A 17356-nucleotide genomic window follows, 5' to 3' on the forward strand; every position below is an offset into this window, starting at 1 on the left:
ACCTGATGCATGATATGTGTTCAATGCATATTAGTATTATGTAATATATTATTATTACTCAAGAGTTCCTGAGTACTTTAGAGATGTCACTGCCCTGGGGCAAAAACAGAGGTCAATAACCTCGGGGATAAAATAGAGGTATACAGGCAACCCAGTACTAGCAGTTAAGACCCTTTTTCTGGGACACATGAAAAGGTTCCCCATTCTGTCCGTCAGCACCCTGTTCCAGGAACCTCACGGTAATGTTGATATTCAGCCAGTATGCACCAGTATAGCCATAATGGTTATCAAGCTAACAAAATGCTTCTAAGTAGGTTGGTAAATTGCCATGCTCTGACCACGCCACATTACTACCCCAAAAATGCCACACCTAAAGGGTTAACCTGTGACGCACAGGGGGTCTCCAGGACAATGCTTTGATACCACTCCAGCTTTCTGATTGGTCAGTGCCTGTGCTAAGGGGGTTGCTAAGTATTCTGAACCTTACTCCTGCCTCTTGGTAAGGGGCAGCTCTAGAGTTCCTCTAGAGGTCTTGGGGCTGTAATTAATTTTCAAGGTAGAGACGGGAGACTGCATACGTACAGCCAGTTCATGGGGTCACTTAGATTGTCTATTTGTTATAGCTTAGGGGAACTGATGGCTATTTTAGGGAGCTAAAATCATTACCTCCACAAACCACTTCTTGGCAATGCTTCCACTTTAAATAGGAAAATTTAAGATGCCTATATTTCCCAGAAGACTCCCTCGTGAAGAAAAAAATACCCCAGTATCTGGAAATACAAACAAATGCATTAAGGTAACACTTGCCATTCAGAGTTACATTGTGTGTGAACTATTTTCCTCATTGGGAAACTTACCAGGAATGCATTCATTGACGAAATACGACACAGCCCCTATAGGTTGCACGTCAGAAAGTAGTTCTGATGATTGCCCCAAAAGGTAGGATGTTGAACCAGGAAGAACCCTGGACAGCTAGCATTGCCTATGGGGGTGCCCAAGGAATGACTATCTGGTGAAGAGCAGGCTCTTCCCCTGCTCTGTCCTGCATCATCCACTCCAACTGTGTCTCCAGGCTTCCTGCTAGATTTGACCAATGGGAGGAACTGGGAGGTGATGGGAGGATGGAAGTAAAGGAACAGCCAGGGTATTTCTCCTCCTTCCTCCCTGCCTCAGGCAGCAGGCCAGGCATCAGTCCATAACTTCTGTGGGACCAGCTCCCACAGGAGATACCAGTGGGCTTCCAGAATCCAGAGAGCGGCCCCTAAACTCCCACCATCCTGCTTCTCCTTTTCCCTTCCAGCCAGGAGTCCTGTGGCTTTCTGCTGTTGTTAATGTTGGGTTGCTTCCCTGGCCCCTGTTGGCTTTTCTGCATCCCCATGAGCTGTGCATCCAGTTCCCTGCATTAAATCCCCTCTGTTTTAAACACTCAGCATGGTTTCCATTTTCCCAGTCAGACACTGACTATCCACTAGATAACTCTGTGCTGTTTAGATGCTCCCCCCTCCCTAGGCCTCAATTTTTTGGTCTGTAAATGAGACTGGAGGAAGTACCTACCAGGCTATATTTCAGCATCATGGTATCAGGGGTGTGGGGACCTGCCTACGCAGAGACATGGAAGTCAACCTCTGAGGAGAAAAATGACCTTCCCACTTCAGGATGCTCCTGTAGGCAAGGGCCTCCTTTTGTTTATCCCAAAGTCGTTTTCATTTTGAACTGCAGCCTCAAATCCTTTTTTTGGGGGGGGGGGATAGGCAGGGTATAGGTAATAAAGAATAGTTTTTAATAATGCTATTTTAAAAGCAATAGATTCCTTGTTTCTTTCTTACCCATTTCATAATTTGGCATTTCCTTATCTTTTCCTTAGCTATGTGCTATAGGTTCAAATGGTTTTCTCTAAATAATCTGGCATTTGGTGATGAAGAATATTTGTGGTTGTATTACCTAGTTATTTTTGCTATTTATTTATTTGTTTTTAGATTTTTGGCCATATAAACCACCATCTTTCGGGGTTGAAAGATTCTCATTGTCTAGTTTTTCTGCAAGCCCCACCTGTGCCCTGGATCATTTTAGCCAGCTTTCTCTGGATTCTCGGAAATCCCTGGACGTCTTCCACGGCTACTGCAGGTGAATACTCGAGTGATGTGCATGGTCATGCGGCTTAAGTAAAGAGCTGTTTTGTTGGTTTCCTATTTTTCTTCTCCAATCACTATTTTGTACACAGCCCCTTATCTCCCCACCTGATCTCATTTTCCAGGCAGAGGTTCCACAGGGCTATAATCTGGCATGGAAGAGTCCCTATGGTCCTCGCTGGGCCCCTCTTGTACAATCCTGGTGGCAAGGCCCATGGGCTTCCTCAGCTGCCTCCTGAGCTTATGGGGAGACAAGACCTAAGCAACTAGAGAGCTGGAAACACGTGTTGTTCATAGCTAGATCCCTATCAGGAGCGATTCAGCAGGCAGTGATGGATCAGCTTCCTAGAACTGGACTCTGAGAGAAAGAACAGAGATGGCAGCAAATGTGGCCTCATAGAAGCCCCACAGCAGTGGAACAGGGGCAGATTTTAGAGTTAGATGTTGTTCCAACCACTGGTTCCACTGTATGCTCACTGTGCAAGCTCCTGTCATAATACTGATCGACAATATTGATTAAGCTCCAACTATGTGATATGTACTATGCAAAGTTTTCCTGGATGCATTTTCTTATTTAATTCATAAAGCCACATGGATTTACCAATGAGGAAACAGGCTGAGAGCAGTTAAGCAACTTGACCAATACTATGTAACTAGAAAGTGGTCTGCTTTTACAGTCTATGCTACTTTGAGAGCTAACTAAATTTTCCAGTCGTCAGTGACCTTGTCTTTCATATCACAATATTTGTGCCTATCTTATAGTATTATTTCTCCCTTCCCCCCTCTCTCCTTTCCATTTAACATTTGCTGAGCTTCCATTTTATCTATGCACCCAGTTACATCTGGGTAACAATAGGATTCATTAGTCAATGTTATATATATATATAATGTTATAATGACTATATATATAGTCAATGTTATATATATATACACACACACACATATATATTTTCAAATAATTCAATAAGTATGCAAAATTTACTTATGGAATGGAAGGTATTTTAGCAATCTGTCTTAGGTGGTACATGAGCCTGGATTCAAATGAGTCCTCAAAATGCACATAAAGAATTCATAACTGGCCAGGCATAGTGGCTCACGCCTATAATCCCAGCACTTTGGGTGGCCAAGCAGGAAAATCACTTGAGGTCAGGAGTTTGAGACCAGCCTGGTCAACATAGCAAAACTTTGTCTCTACAAAATAAATACAAATATTAGCCAGGTTGGTGACACATGCCTGTAGTCCCAAGTACTAGAGAAGTTAAGGCAGGAAAAATCACTTGAACCCAGGAGTTCGAGGCTGCAGTGAGCCATGATCACACCACTGCACTCCAGGCTGGTCAACACAGTAAGACAAGGCTCTCTAAAAAGAAACATAAAAATAAAATAAAATAAATAAAAAATAATTTATAACACTGTAAAACCATGGAGGCATATTGCCCCCATTTGCCCATGTGGAGCATGGAAGCAGCCAGCCACAGAAAAGGGTCCCAGCATGAGCCGAGAGCAACTCTCAGGGCACAAGAGGAGCCACATCTCTTCTGTCTTTTTCTACCCAAAGCTCTGATGGAGAACTATCTCAGAGCAGGCCCCAAGGCAGTGGGCTGGCACCTGGAAGTTATTTGGAGGCGGGGAGCCAGGCAAGATAGCAAGACAGCAGCAGTCCCATTCCATTTGAGAATTTAATACTCAAGGTTCCAACAACTCAGGAGCATGCTGAAGGATGTTTGAGCAAGCGTGGGGTGGGAAGATGCAGAGTGCAGGTAGCCGTATTTGCAAAGCCACATATTAGACTCACTTTCTCTTGAAGACAGGACTATCTCAGCATGAATGAGGTCTTCTCAGCTCCTGGTTGCCTATGAAGAGGAGCCCTGTAGAGATGTCAAGCCAAACTTAGCTTCTTTACGGGGAAAAAGCCATTGACGGTAAAAATGGGGGTACCTGAATGAGAGAACTTGAAACAGCAGTTTACATGGTGTGAATGGATACCTGGGCACTGGAAATGAGTCCGATAGTGACAGGGATGAAAGCAAGGGACCAGTACAAACATTCCTGAACTCGGCGCCCTGGGTTTCGCTGCCTTTCCAGTGCTCTTCCCACTGCTCTGAGGGAGAATGAGGGAATACCCGGGGGCTTTCAGGATGGCTGTGTCCCTGCTGGAGATTGTACATCTGGATCTACGGTCACCTTCCTCCAGAGCCCCAGGTCAGAGGAAAGCTTATTAAATATTAACAGTTCTTCTCCCCTGATCTCTGGAGGTACAGGGCCTCAAAGAAAAAGAACAATCACAGCTTTAGAAACACAACCAATTATATACTAATCTGTGGTCATTTTACATTCAATTTACAGTGTACGCTATTACCGTTGGCTTCCTTGTGCATTGTGTTGACATTATCTGTGACTTTGTTTGCTTTACACACAGCTCACAGCAGACAGGAATTGGAGGGAGAAGCCTTTTTAAAAAAATAAAATAAAACTTTAATGGGCCTCCAGAGCCAGTGGAAGCCAGGGAAAGACAGCATTTCAGGCATGCCATAATAATGTTTAGACTACTATTTTCTACCAGTCTGCAAAGTAAAGCTATCTTTCCCCAAGAGAGAATGGGGAGCCATGGAGAGTGGAGAGGAGACAAACTGAGAGAGAACAGAACAGAGAGAAAATGCAGAGAAGCGTTATTTAGGGAAATAGCCCTAGAAGAGCAAATGTGCTTGTGTTCAAATGAATGCCACCAAATGCCCCCTTCTCTAGGGAGACTTCCTGGATTCTCTGGGGTCACTGATCCCTTCTTTAAAGACCTATACCCCCCTCTATATGTCTGCAGTGTCTATTGCATTAAAATTTATCAGTTTCAACGTCTGTTTTTGCCTTTATATTCTGAATTTCCTAAGAATAGAAAAATGTATCTTCCCTATGTTAGTATTGCCAGTGCCTACCACTATTCCTGATACAAAGTAGGGCTTGTGCATTGATTGATGAGTGTGCTATTATTGTATGTAGAACCCTCTGTGAGTGAATAACCCTGAGCCAGTTCTGTAACCTGTTCATGTGCAGCGAGATGGGACAGCTGTCCTAGGGAAGTGAACAATCTCACCCAGTTTGACTTTTATTTTCTCTGAAGTTCTTATCTTTGTGATTTTAACTCCTATATTAACATATGTTAAAACTGTCCTACATCAGATTTACATTTTAAGGATCAGCGAAAAGGTATTAGCAAGTGTGCTCAAAGCATGGGGATTGTTTGCATCCTAATACTGAGTGAAGCACAGAAGCAGACCACCACGTTGCATCTGGAGGAGCATCATGTGTGCACACTCACACCTGCTAAAAACTCCCAAAATGAAAATGGTTGATGAGTTAGGATGGTGAGATTGCAATTGTAGTTTCTTTTCGCAGAAAAATTGCCTTTTTATGCTGTGTTTATTTAAAGATAAATGAATAAATATACAAACAAATATGAAATAGATACATTGGGAGGGAGGGGAAAAAAAACTGTGCTTCCATGTCCAAATTTGTTACCAAAAGAGCAAGTGGTGCTTTTTTATAGTTGCACAGAAAAGAACAGATTCTTTAGAACAGCACAGCACCAGGGTATGAGAATACTGAAGAGGAAAAGTATGAAATCTGTGCTATCCCTCCCTTTGGAGTTGTAAACTGGAGTTTGTTCTTGCCCTTTTAGCAAGTCGACTGTACCCTGGCCAACTCAGTATCAGGGAAAGGGCAAGAATTTTTTTAAATCCATTTCTGGTTGATGACATGCCCCTTAGTCACAGTCACCCCATCCCCCTCTCTCTCTTTCTCTCTCTCTCCCCCTCCCCCAACCCAGAAACAGCAAAATATGCTGTGTCCTGCATGGCCCCTGGGAACCTAGGCAGGGCAACAGTTTCATATAGGTTAGCCTGGTTCAGGGTGTGAATCTCGTTGAAGATCAAATGAACTCCATGAAACTCCTGTGGTTGCTAAGAGACATGATATCTTTAAATGTCAATTACCATTCCCCTCAAAATAGCTCAAAAATCATCCAGTGTTTGAGCTTTAAAAGTCCCATGATATGCCAGATTTAAAAGACATGGACTAAAATCCTGTCTTCATGATATGCTGGTTTTAAAAAGACATGAATTAAAATCCTGACTCGATCATTTTCCAGATGGGTGACCTTCGCTAAATTACCTCTCTCTGAGCCTCATTCTTCCTTCTCTGTTAAAAGGGAGTGGTGATAGGGAGCAATTTTTAAACTGCAAAACACTCTAACTGTATGAGTTTGAACTACTTAATTCACATCTGATATGAGAACATATGTGAGAGAGATTGAAAAAAGACATCAAAATATGAATTATTATCATAGGGTTCCCACCTCCTTTGCATGTATATTAAATTTACTATGTGTGAGGCAGATACTGAAATCTATGGGAGGTGAACAAGAGGTGATCTGACATCTTAGGATAATACTTAGGTTTTAAAAAGAAATTTGGGAATTATTTCTCAGTAATTCTTCACTTTACAAAATAATTAACCATGGTTTATTATTATTGTGTATCATTACACTTAATATTATTAAAGGCCCAGCTATCCCAGTTTGTTTTAAATGGGATTTAATTCACAAAACATTGTTTTGAGTCTAATTTGTAAAGGCACAGTTATTGTAGCAACCAGGTAGTTAAGTTTTCCAGTGTACACTGGTGAACAAGGCTTTGAAGTCCACATGAGAGAAAATTGCAATGAATCTCTCTATGGCCTGTACATGGGTGGCTCTACAGTGTAAACGCTGACACTGACAGTGGGGCCCAATCGTGTGCATGTAACTCTATGCGCTGGGCAAATGGATGAATCATTTCATTTGATCCTTTCCTCACTGCGCTTTCCCTGGATTGGTCCTCTAGGCTGTGTCTCTCACATATGCATTAGGGACCCTCTGAGGGCCTCCTGGCCTCTGCTCCTGGGGCCTCTGTCTTGGTTCCAGTGGGGTGCAGTAATGACACACTCTTTTGAATTCATACTTGAGTGAATCCTTGTAGTATTCCTCCTGCTCTTCCTGTCTGTGCTGTCCTTACTTCAAATAACTAAACAGCAGCTGCTTGGACTTTGGGATTAGACAACCACAGCTCAGATCCTGTCAGTGACTAATTATTCATCCAGGGATGCTGGACAAGGTTACTTCAACTCTCTGAGGCTTGATTGTCCTTATCATTAAGGGGGTATAATAGTATCTATTACATAATTTTTTATATTAAAAAGTTAGACCATTTAACATGGTGCCTAAGAGGTAGCAAGTTCTTGGTAAGTTATAAGCACTATTGCTTCTGCTGCTGCTGCTATTATTATTATTACTATGTACGGGATCAGCTTAAAAGAACCATGGATTAAGTAAATACCAGTCTGGTCCTGGTGCATGACTGTACTATAGGGCTTCGTGGCTAGAGGTTTTACATATGTCCACATACACATATATACAATGCTTTCAAGGGCACACGGAAATCATCTATACTTACATAGCAAACCTAAAGCTGGCCGGGCGCAGTGGCTCATGCCTGTAATACCAGCACTTTGGGAGGCCGAGGTGGGTGGATCACCTGCAGTCAGGAGTTCAAGACCAGCCTGACCAATATGGTGAAAACCCTTCTGTACTAAAATTACAAAAATTAGCCAGGCATGGTGGCGCACACCTGCAATCCCAGCTACTCAGGAGGCTGAGGCAGGAGAACCACTTGAACCCAGGAGGCAGAGGTTGCAGTGAGCCGAGATCGCGCCACTGCACTACTCCTGGGCAACAGAGCGAGACTCTGTTAAAAAAACAAAAAACATTCTAACTGGTGTGAGATGGTATCTCATTGTGGTTTTGATTTGCATTTCTCTGATGGCCAGTGATGGTGAGCATTTTTTCATGTGTTTTTTGGCTGCATAAATGTCTTCTTTTGAGAAGTGTCTGCTCATGTCCTTCGCCCACTTTTTGATGGGGTTGTTTGTTTTTTTCCTGTAAATTTGTTTGAGTTCATTGTAGATTCTGGATATTAGCCCTTTGTCAGATGAGTAGGTTGCGAAAATTTTCTCCCATTTTGTAGGTTGCCTGTTCACTCTGATGGTAGTTTCTTTTGCTGTGCAGAAGCTCTTTAGTTTAATTAGATCTTATTTGTCAATTTTGGCTTTTGTTGCCATTGCTTTTGGTGTTTTAGACATGAAGTCCTTGCCCATGCCTATGTCCTGAATCGTAATGCCTAGGTTTTCTTTTGGGTTTTTATGGTTTTAGGTCTAACATGTAAGTCTTTAATCCATCTTGAATTAATTTTTGTATAAGGTGTCAGGAAGGGATCCAGTTTCAGCTTTCTACATATGGCTAGCCAGTTTTCCCAGCACCATTTATTAAATAGGGAATCTTTTCCCCATTGCTTGTTTTTCTCAGGTTTGTCAAAGATCAGATAGTTGTAGATATGCAGCGTTATTTCTGAGGGCTCTGTTCTGTTCCATTGATCTATATCTCTGTTTTGGTACCAGTACCATGCTCTTTTGGTTACCGTAGCCTTGTAGTATAGTTTGAAGTCAGGTAGTGTGATGCCTCCAGCTTTGTTCTTTTGGCTTAGGATTGACTTGGCGTTGTGGGCTCTTTTCTGGTTCCATATGAACTTTAAAGTAGTTTTTTCCAATTCTGTGAAGAAAGTCATTGGTAGCTTGATGGGGATGGCATTGAATCTATAAATTACCTTGGGCAGTATGGCCATTTTCACGATATTGATTCTTCCTACCCATGAGTATGGAATGTTCTTCCATTTCTTTGTATCCTCTTTTATTTCATTGAGCAGTGGTTTGTAGTTCTCCTTGAAGAGGTCCTTCACATCCCTTGTAAGCTGGATTCCTAGGTATTTTATTCTCTTTGAAGCAATTGTGAATGGGAGTTCACTCATGATTTGGCTGTTTGTCTGTTATTGGTGTATAAGAATGCTTGTGATTTTTGTACATTGATTTTGTATCCTGAGAAAATGTGGCACATATACACCATGGAATATTATGCAGCCATAAAAAATGATGAGTTTATATCCTTTGTAGGGACATGGATGAAATTGGAAATCATCATTCTCAGTAAACTATCGCAAGGACAAAAAACCAAACACTGCATGTTCTCACTCATAGGTGGGAATTGAACAATGAGAACACATGGACACAGGAAGAGGAACATCACACTCTGGGGACTGTTGTGGGGTCGGGGGAGGGGGGAGGGATAGCATTAGGAGATATACCTAATGCTAAATGACAAGTTAATGGGTGCAACACACCAGCATTGCACATGTATACATATGTAACTAACCTGCACATTGTTCACAGGTACCCTAAAACTTAAAGTATTAAAAAAAAAAATCTACCAAAACAAGAAAAAATAAAATAAAATAAAATAAAAAAACAAAAAACCCTAAAGCTGTGCAATTAAATATTAATTTTTTTGACTTTGGAATGTCCTTTGTAATTTTTTTGTTTGTGGTAAATTTACCTTCAAACTTCACTTGGATTAATATGAAAGCAAAATGAGATGTGTATTTCCTAAATATGTATCAACAAAGCAAGAGAAAGAAAGTGGCTCCCAAGTAATTGAGAGACAAAGTGAAAAATGAAGTTGCATGTAATTTACATGCTTAGACTCAGTCCATATACGGATAATCAAAGGCAGCGAGGAGGAGAAGGAATATTGAGGAACCGCTAGTAATGCTTAAAAAAAAAACAAACAGGCCGGGCGCGGTGGCTCACGCCTGTAATCCCAGCACTTTGGGAGGCTGAGGCGGACGGATCACGAGGTCAGGAGATCGAGACCATCCTGGCTAACACAGTGAAACCCCGTCTCTACTAAAAAACACAAAAAATTAGCCGGGCGTGGTGGCGGGCGCCTGTAGTCCCAGCTACGCGGGAGGCTGAGGCAGGAGAATGGCGTGAACTCGGGAGGCGGAGCTTGCAGTGAGCCGAGATCGCGCCACTGCACTCCAGCCTGGGCGACAGAGCGAGACTCCGTCTCAAAAAAAAAAAAAAAAAAAAAGAATTTGAGTGAGAGATCAGGAGTTTTCCTGTGGTTGTAGAGAGAACCAAGAATGTTTGCCTGGAGAAGAGAAGACTTGGAAAGCCATGGTATCATTCTTCTAAAGTTTGAAGAGCCCTTGTGTAGAAGAGGAAGTTGACTCTCTTTTTTTCTCAAGGGATAAACAGGACCAATACATGAAAGCGAGAGAGAGAACAAGTTGGGCTCAACAGGAGGAAGGTCTTCTTAATTACTTGAGTGGCTCCCAAAATGGAATGGACTGACTGCTGGGTCCCTAGTTCTTGAAGGGTTCCAGCAGGAGCTGGGAGCCCATGTAAATACAATGGTATTGGGGGCAGGGAGAAATTGTTTGCAGTGCCTCTCTGATTCTCTTTAAGATTTAAACATTTTTTTACCAAGCTATAGAATTTCTATCCTTATTTTCCCTGAACATTAAAATAGACATAATGTCATTTACCACTCCCATCACATGGACTACTCCTTATTAAAATATTAAAGAAATGAAATTTGCACCTATGCTATATAGATAGATGGATAGATAGATAGAACCTTTGAATATTGAAGTTAAAGAAATATGGAGCAAACCTATTTGTTCTCAACTTTCTGAAATAACTTTAACATCAACTATGTAGGAGAAAAATCTCTAAATATATCTTTCAACTCTTTACCTTTTTTTTAAAATAATATGGACCCTCTCAAAGACATGATAGAAGTACTCAGTGTGAGTTATATGGGTCAAATCCTTCAGAAATCCTGATTTATAATAATGCATTATTAAAACTGATACTATCAAAACTTCTATTTTGAGGATCTGCATGTCATCTATGACCCTAACAGCCTCCTAAGAGATAGATATTCTTAGTATTCCCATTTTACAGAAGAGAAAATTGAGGTTCAAAGGGGTCAGGAAACTTGTTCAAGGCCACCCAGCTAAATGTAGAGCTGTCTGACTCCCCAGCCCCTGCTCTTTCCACTGTGTCATACTCTTGGCCACTTCCTGTCTTGCTTGAACAAACATAGTTCAGGCAAAACGTACAAGCAACGATGACGTGCCACTGTTACACCTCCCAATTAAAACCTATAATTTCCGAGTCTGAACTGGAAATCCTTTGGCTCTGTGCTTTTGTCTGGCCTGCTCAGGAAAATGTTTATTTTGAGATGTGCACCTCTCAGAGCGGTTGGATATTTTCGGTGGCCCATTCACACATGGGCCACATTGAACTGAAGGTATAGAGCAGTGGCTTCACCCCACAACTGCAACAGCCCCGGCCCTGCCCTGCTCCCGACTTGGGGTCTGTTTCAGTGAGGGTGTTAAGGCTATTAGTAGGTCCATGGAGACTATAAATAGAGCCCTGGGCTTCAGCCAGCTCAGTGTGTTTATGTTTTTGGGTTGCGCTGCAACTGTTGTTGGTAATTATAGACGCGTGGGTGTGCATGGGTGCTGATGAACAGTTCCTCCTCCTGGTTTCCTCTTTGCACAAGACCAACACTGGGGGTGTCTGAACTCACAATCCCATCATAAGGTCCCGTGTGTCCAGTCACTGCTGTATTTCCTGGCCAAACTGAAATGACCAGGGGGGCTGAAAGATGTCAAGGTATTCCATGTCATCATTAGGGTCACCACCTGTGTCGTCAACGCTTTCTTTAAAAGAAATAAAGTGACATCATGTTTCATAGTCTTTGCAGACAAATGAGAAAAGGATTTATGGGTCTAATTGAAATGATGATTCCTAAGGGAACCTAGTGGAATGAGGAGTACATCGAGTCCAGTAAATTGCCGTGATCTGTAATGTTAGCTCTGAAAGGGCTACATTCTCCTTTAGATGTCCCAAAGGTATGTGCAATCTTTCACCAGTGAAGAGGGTGGGGTCACCTCTTCCTGCTTTTCTTTTGAGTCTCTGGTGATCCAAGTGAAGGTGGTGGTCACAGCCTGAGGCTGCTCCCTGAGCTGACCATCGGCTACCAGAACAGTCAAGTATGTCCAATTCTAACCCATCTATTGAACTTGGGCTGTGCCAAAGAGACACCAGTAGAGTAGAAGTAGCTGATGGAAATCAGGAAAAAAATGCTGCCATCTTTTTTTTTTGAGACGGAGTCTCGCTCTGTCACCCAGGCTGGAGTGCAGTGGTGCGATCTCCGCTCACTGCAAGCTCCACCTCCTGGGTTCACGCCATTCTCCTGCCTTAGCTTTCCGAGTAGCTGGGACTACAGGCATCCGCCAGCACGTCTGGCTAATTTTTTTTTGTATTTTTAGTAGAGACGGGGTTTCACCGCATTAGCCAGGATGGTCTTGATCTCCTGACCTTGTGATCCGCCTGCCTCGGCCTCCCAAAGTGCTGGGATTATAGACGTGAGCCACTGCACCCCGCCAAATGCTGTCATCTTAAAGGTACACACTTGGGAGGACTTTCTTCTCCACTACCTAACCTTACCCTATGCCTTTGGGTGATGGTGGCAGAAAGTCAGCTGGTGGGAAAGAGAAAGTGGGAAGATTTAGGGGGTTGGTCCAATTCTATTTTACATGCCCCATCTTGTCCTACTATTGTCTTCACTTATTTAGTTCATCTGCCCTGATGACAGGCTAAGTAGGTTCAGACTGTTTAGCGGGCTGGAATAACACAGTACCTGGAGTCAAGAGAAAAATACCCAAGTGGTGGCCACCTAGGAAGTTTGACCAAAAAAAAATTTGGTGCCATTCCTCTTAACCCCAAATATGACCCCCTACGAACTGGCCCATTCAAAAGGATCAAGGAGTGGCAGATAATTCTTTACGTCCACAAGGCTGAGCACATGGTAGGTGTTCCTTAAATATTTGCTAAACTGATCTATTTGGAGTCCTTGATTTTCATGTGTTAACTCTCTTACAGCCCACACTTTCAATACTACAGATACTCCTGCCCCTAAATTATTTCATGCATACTGAGTTCAAGAGTTCATTCATTAGCTGACCGAAGAACACTGGGTGCTTTCCCATAAAGAGCTGCACAAAACTGTTCAGTTTAACAGCAGTACCATGTTGGTAATGGGAGATTCATGTAATTGTCTGAATATGTAATTGCATTTAACAAAAATGACTGGGAAACAGGGAAAGAAAGTGCTGGTATTAGTGAAAATAAGCAGAGAGGTCTCATCAATTTAATAAAATTAAGACAAAAATAGAAATCATCAAGTGTGCTATAAGTGGCAAGTCTTTAGCCTCAATTGGATGCTCAATGGAGGATGGTTGATTGTGTGTTCAATTATGAAGACAAAGAACAAATTAAAGAGCATGGTGAAATTCTGGAACTGTATTGTCAAATATAGTATCCAAAAGGCAAGCCGTAGTCAGCATTTCTATAACTATTTTTTAAATCTCTGGGAATCCTCCTACCCCTTAACTGAATAGGATCTGAGTCTTATTGCTTGATCTCCATACATTTGATTGTCATATGTTTTTAAGAATACATTATATATCAGAACAATATTCAAGATTCTTAAAGTCCTCTCCGTTTCCAAAAAAAAAAAAAATTGGGGGGAAGTAACACTTTAAGAGGAAGTAACAGCCAACTGAGAACAAAAGTCAAAGATTGTATCTTGGCTATAGCTTGTTACTTAACAATTAAAAGCACAGGTATAAAATTCAGACACAGCTAGATATGAATCCTGACTTTGCCATCACCTAGCAATGTATCTTGAACAAGTTACTTAATCTTTCAAACCTCAGTTTCTTCAGCTGTAAAATGGGGATAATAGTTGTCACCTACCCCATAGGGTGGCTGCAAAATGCAAGTAAGTGAATATATTCAGTATGCTTAGTGCTGTGCCTGGTACTTACTCTGGGCTTAAAATATAGAAGCCATTTTCTACGAAGGAAGAAGGATGCTGGAAGGAGAGATGGGAGGGACTGAACGTGGCCCCTGACAAGGGGCAAAGATAGATCCTGAACTCTATTAAAAACTCAATGAGGAAACACAAGTTCTATTACTACAGCTACTCCCTATCTACCCACTAGGTCATTCTGGCTTCTGCTGGTGTGAGTGGGAGTATGCTATTTATTCACCTAATGACTCCTTCCAAGTTAGAGAAGTTGGAAACCCTGACAACTGTTCCAACCATTAATTCTCTCATTTCACCACCTCTGCACACAGGAAGGTGTGTCTCCTGTATTACTGTCACATCTGCATTTTGACTTTTCAATCGTCTGAGGCTTCCAGCTCTTTGGAATCAGTGATTACAGCTTTGTGATTATACAATTAGAAGAGGCTAGGTTGAGGATACGCTGTTCAAAACAATAACGTGGCTGCCTCACATAGCGTGGTGGACACCTGGCACCACCACCTCCCAGGACACATGCTCACCACCCTGGGTCTCTGTGCTTGTTTCCCCTGACATGGCCAAGACTCTACCCCCATTTCCATTTTGACAGCTTTCTTGTCTAAGTTCTTCTTTAAAGGTTTATTAGGGTATCATGACATTGTTGATTGCTGTTTAGCATTGATTATTAGTATTAGCCCTGCTTATTGAAAAACTTTGAGAGAGTCTTATATTTCTAAGATTTCATCTAGACCTCAAATGCCCTTACGGTGTAAGCCCAGCTACAGCAGAGGTAGAATCTGAGCAGGGAGGGGAGAGTGGCTGCAAAATCTTGGAGGAAAATGAAAGGACAGAATACAATAAAAGAATACTCAAGACTGTAATGCCAAAGCCCTCAGCCCAGGGCCTGCAACACAGTGAGAAGTTCTCAGTAGTCAAAATCCACCTTTCTTGTCCTATGACACTACCCTGCCTTGTTTGGTTGTGAAATAACTTTCAGACAAAATCAGTAGTTCTAAATATTTTGGTGAAGCTCTTTCCTCCTTCTCCTGGGCAAGCCTTCCGCGTGCATTGCCTCCACTCACTCACCTCCCATTTCCACCTATGCTAATTTCACCTCCACACCCAGGGCCACACTGTGGCTTCACTGCATCAAGATCACCAAGTGCTCTATCCAGTGCATGCTTTTAGTCTTCGTCTCACTGGCCTCCCTGAAGCGTGTGACACTGTGGACCAGTCTTATCCTCTTGAAACCCTCTCTCCTGCCTTCCTTGACACAAATTTCTCCTCTTCTCCTTGGCAGTTGCCCTTTCTGGCTCTTCCATCTTTGCCCACAACTTTGAGTTGACGAATTGAGGGACTGTCCTTGACCTTCTGCCCTTCCCACAGGACAGGGCCTCCCCTGCCATGCTTTCAACAGCCACCTGCTCACCAATGGCTCTCATGTTTTTCTCCTCATCCCTGACCTATCTTTTGTGCGTCAAACCCACATAAGCAACTGCACATTGGGCCTCTCCACTTCGGTGTCCCACAAGCATCTCAAATTCAACATGCACAACACAGAATTAGTTGTCTTACACCCCTTTCGTTCCATGTCTTCTATAGTCACTCAAACCAGAATCCTGGGTGGCATCTTACATGTCTCGTTTTCCTTTAACTCTCAACCCTCTCCCTCTACTACCCAATCACCAAATCTTGGTAATTCTCTCCTTCTCTAATCCTTCCACTCTTCCACTCCCTTATTTGCAAACTTCACATCTTTCTTGAATTATTTTAACAGCCTCCCAACTACTTTTCTTGCCTTCTGTCTCAACCAGGCTTATTCTCCCCACAGATACTCAAGCGACCTTTTTAAAATGAAAGTCTAATAAGCCTCTGCCTTACTTAAAGTCTAGCCAGTAGCTTCCCATTGCCTATGTGGTAGAATAAAAACCCCATTGTAGGGCCTGCAGGGGGCTCTGTGATCTGCCTCCTATATTTCATCTCTGCTCTTCCCCCTTCCTTCTCTCCAACTTATACTCTGGCCATCAGAGTTCTAGAAGTTCCCCCAGAGCATCATGCTTTTCAATGTATTTGCAAAGGCAAAAAAAAAAAAATACACTTGCGTTTCATTCCCACCTAGACAGCGCCTACTTCTTCATGAAGGCCTAGTCCAAGCATTCTCTCTTTAGTCTTCTATAACTTTCCCCATCCCCCCAACTCCTCTCCCCTCCTTAGAGAACTGCCCACTTTCTCCGATCTGCCACAGTGTATATATCTTCGGAAGGCATCTACCACACTTATTTACATGTCTGTCTCTCTGCTAGACTGAAAACTCCTTCAGGGTGGGGATGATCTCTTAATAGTCTTTACTCTCACCCCTGTGCACAGATCCTGCCATAAAACAGTTAGAGAACATAGCACCCCACTCTCCATCAAATCAACCAGAACTGAAAGCTCAGGAAGCTGCGTTTGACGGCTTCACTTTTAGTTTCAGTTGCTCAGTCTGGGCAGCTCAGAGCAGCTTCCTGAGCCTCCACCAGTTCAGAAAGCATCCAATCTGCAGTGAAGTGTGCACTGTCATTTGTTGAGCAGGAGCTCACAGTGATCCTGCTGATAGGGAGGCCTTTGCCGCCTTTCGCCCAAACCCCATGCCCTCTGGACTATGCATCTTAAAGGTCATGGTCATGGGCGGTCCTTATCAATCAAAGCATCAGGCGGAGAAAAAAACCCCATTCTGGGATATGGTGAGACATGTCGGTTTCAAAACATTGCAGATTGTTAAATGAGTAATGTTAATGTGATCTCAGAATAGTAAATACAACCCCACAAGGAAAAGATATTAGCTGCATTATCTGGAAGGAAAACAAGAAAGGAAAGCAACATTTGGCTGCAAAAACTATGAAAGAGATGTCTGTATGGTGATTCAAGTTCTACTAGGGCAGGTAAATTGCATTTTTCTGATTGTCTGCCCACTCTCCTCCCCCCACCCCATGTGGGGACATGCACTCCCTCATTAAATCTCTTCTCTGGGGTAGGGTATGGGACTTGGGGGAAGTGAAGGGAAGCGGGGAGCATACACATAGAGGAAGAAAACAAAGGCCTTCATTTTCTAAAAATATCACTCACTATGATTGAGAAAGAGTTTCTCAAGAAATGCGAATGTCCTGCACAGGAAGTAACACTTCATCACACGGCTAATAATCAGCCACGTGCTTGTCAGGGTTAGGTTTTTCCCTTCTGTGGTGAAAAGGTGGCTCCAGGCAAGCCTGGATATCTTTCCCGCCAGCCTGATAGTTATTTAAACACATTCAGCTCTTATCTTCCAAAATGTGTGAGTGTGCTACTCCCATTACATCAAATTCATGTGGAAGACTCTCAGTGGCGGGGGATGGGGGAGTCTGCAATTTTAAAGGGTTTATGTGGGGCCAGACTACCGTTCCCCCAC

At 42.8% G+C, this 17356-nt stretch overlaps 1 long non-coding RNA gene across 1 annotated transcript in view, besides 4 other annotated features; it reads right to left on the reverse strand.

Annotated features, from left to right (window-relative positions):
- Nucleotides 1-3077: 3077 nt before the first annotated feature.
- Nucleotides 3078-17356, reverse strand: part of LOC105378327 (uncharacterized) — a 31382-nt gene continuing 17103 nt past the window's right edge. The window contains exons 2-3 of the long non-coding RNA XR_946002.3: nt 3925-3997; nt 3078-3489 (exon numbers count right to left, since the gene is read on the reverse strand). This is a non-coding gene — a long non-coding RNA (uncharacterized LOC105378327). The remainder of the gene's footprint in view (nt 3490-3924; nt 3998-17356) is intronic.
- Nucleotides 11179-11348: an enhancer, noted in NCBI's record as "active region_3418". NCBI's record gives its function as "activates an Ori minimal core promoter by ATAC-STARR-seq in GM12878 lymphoblastoid cells {active_cell/tissue: GM12878}" and the evidence as "EXISTENCE:reporter gene assay evidence [ECO:0000049][PMID:35858748]".
- Nucleotides 16156-16245: an enhancer, noted in NCBI's record as "active region_3419". NCBI's record gives its function as "activates an Ori minimal core promoter by ATAC-STARR-seq in GM12878 lymphoblastoid cells {active_cell/tissue: GM12878}" and the evidence as "EXISTENCE:reporter gene assay evidence [ECO:0000049][PMID:35858748]".
- Nucleotides 16536-16775: an enhancer, noted in NCBI's record as "active region_3420". NCBI's record gives its function as "activates an Ori minimal core promoter by ATAC-STARR-seq in GM12878 lymphoblastoid cells {active_cell/tissue: GM12878}" and the evidence as "EXISTENCE:reporter gene assay evidence [ECO:0000049][PMID:35858748]".
- Nucleotides 16786-17015: an enhancer, noted in NCBI's record as "active region_3421". NCBI's record gives its function as "activates an Ori minimal core promoter by ATAC-STARR-seq in GM12878 lymphoblastoid cells {active_cell/tissue: GM12878}" and the evidence as "EXISTENCE:reporter gene assay evidence [ECO:0000049][PMID:35858748]".

Source organism: Homo sapiens, chromosome 10, assembly GCF_000001405.40.
Source record: "Homo sapiens chromosome 10, GRCh38.p14 Primary Assembly".
Taxonomy (NCBI): Eukaryota; Metazoa; Chordata; class Mammalia; order Primates; family Hominidae; genus Homo; species Homo sapiens.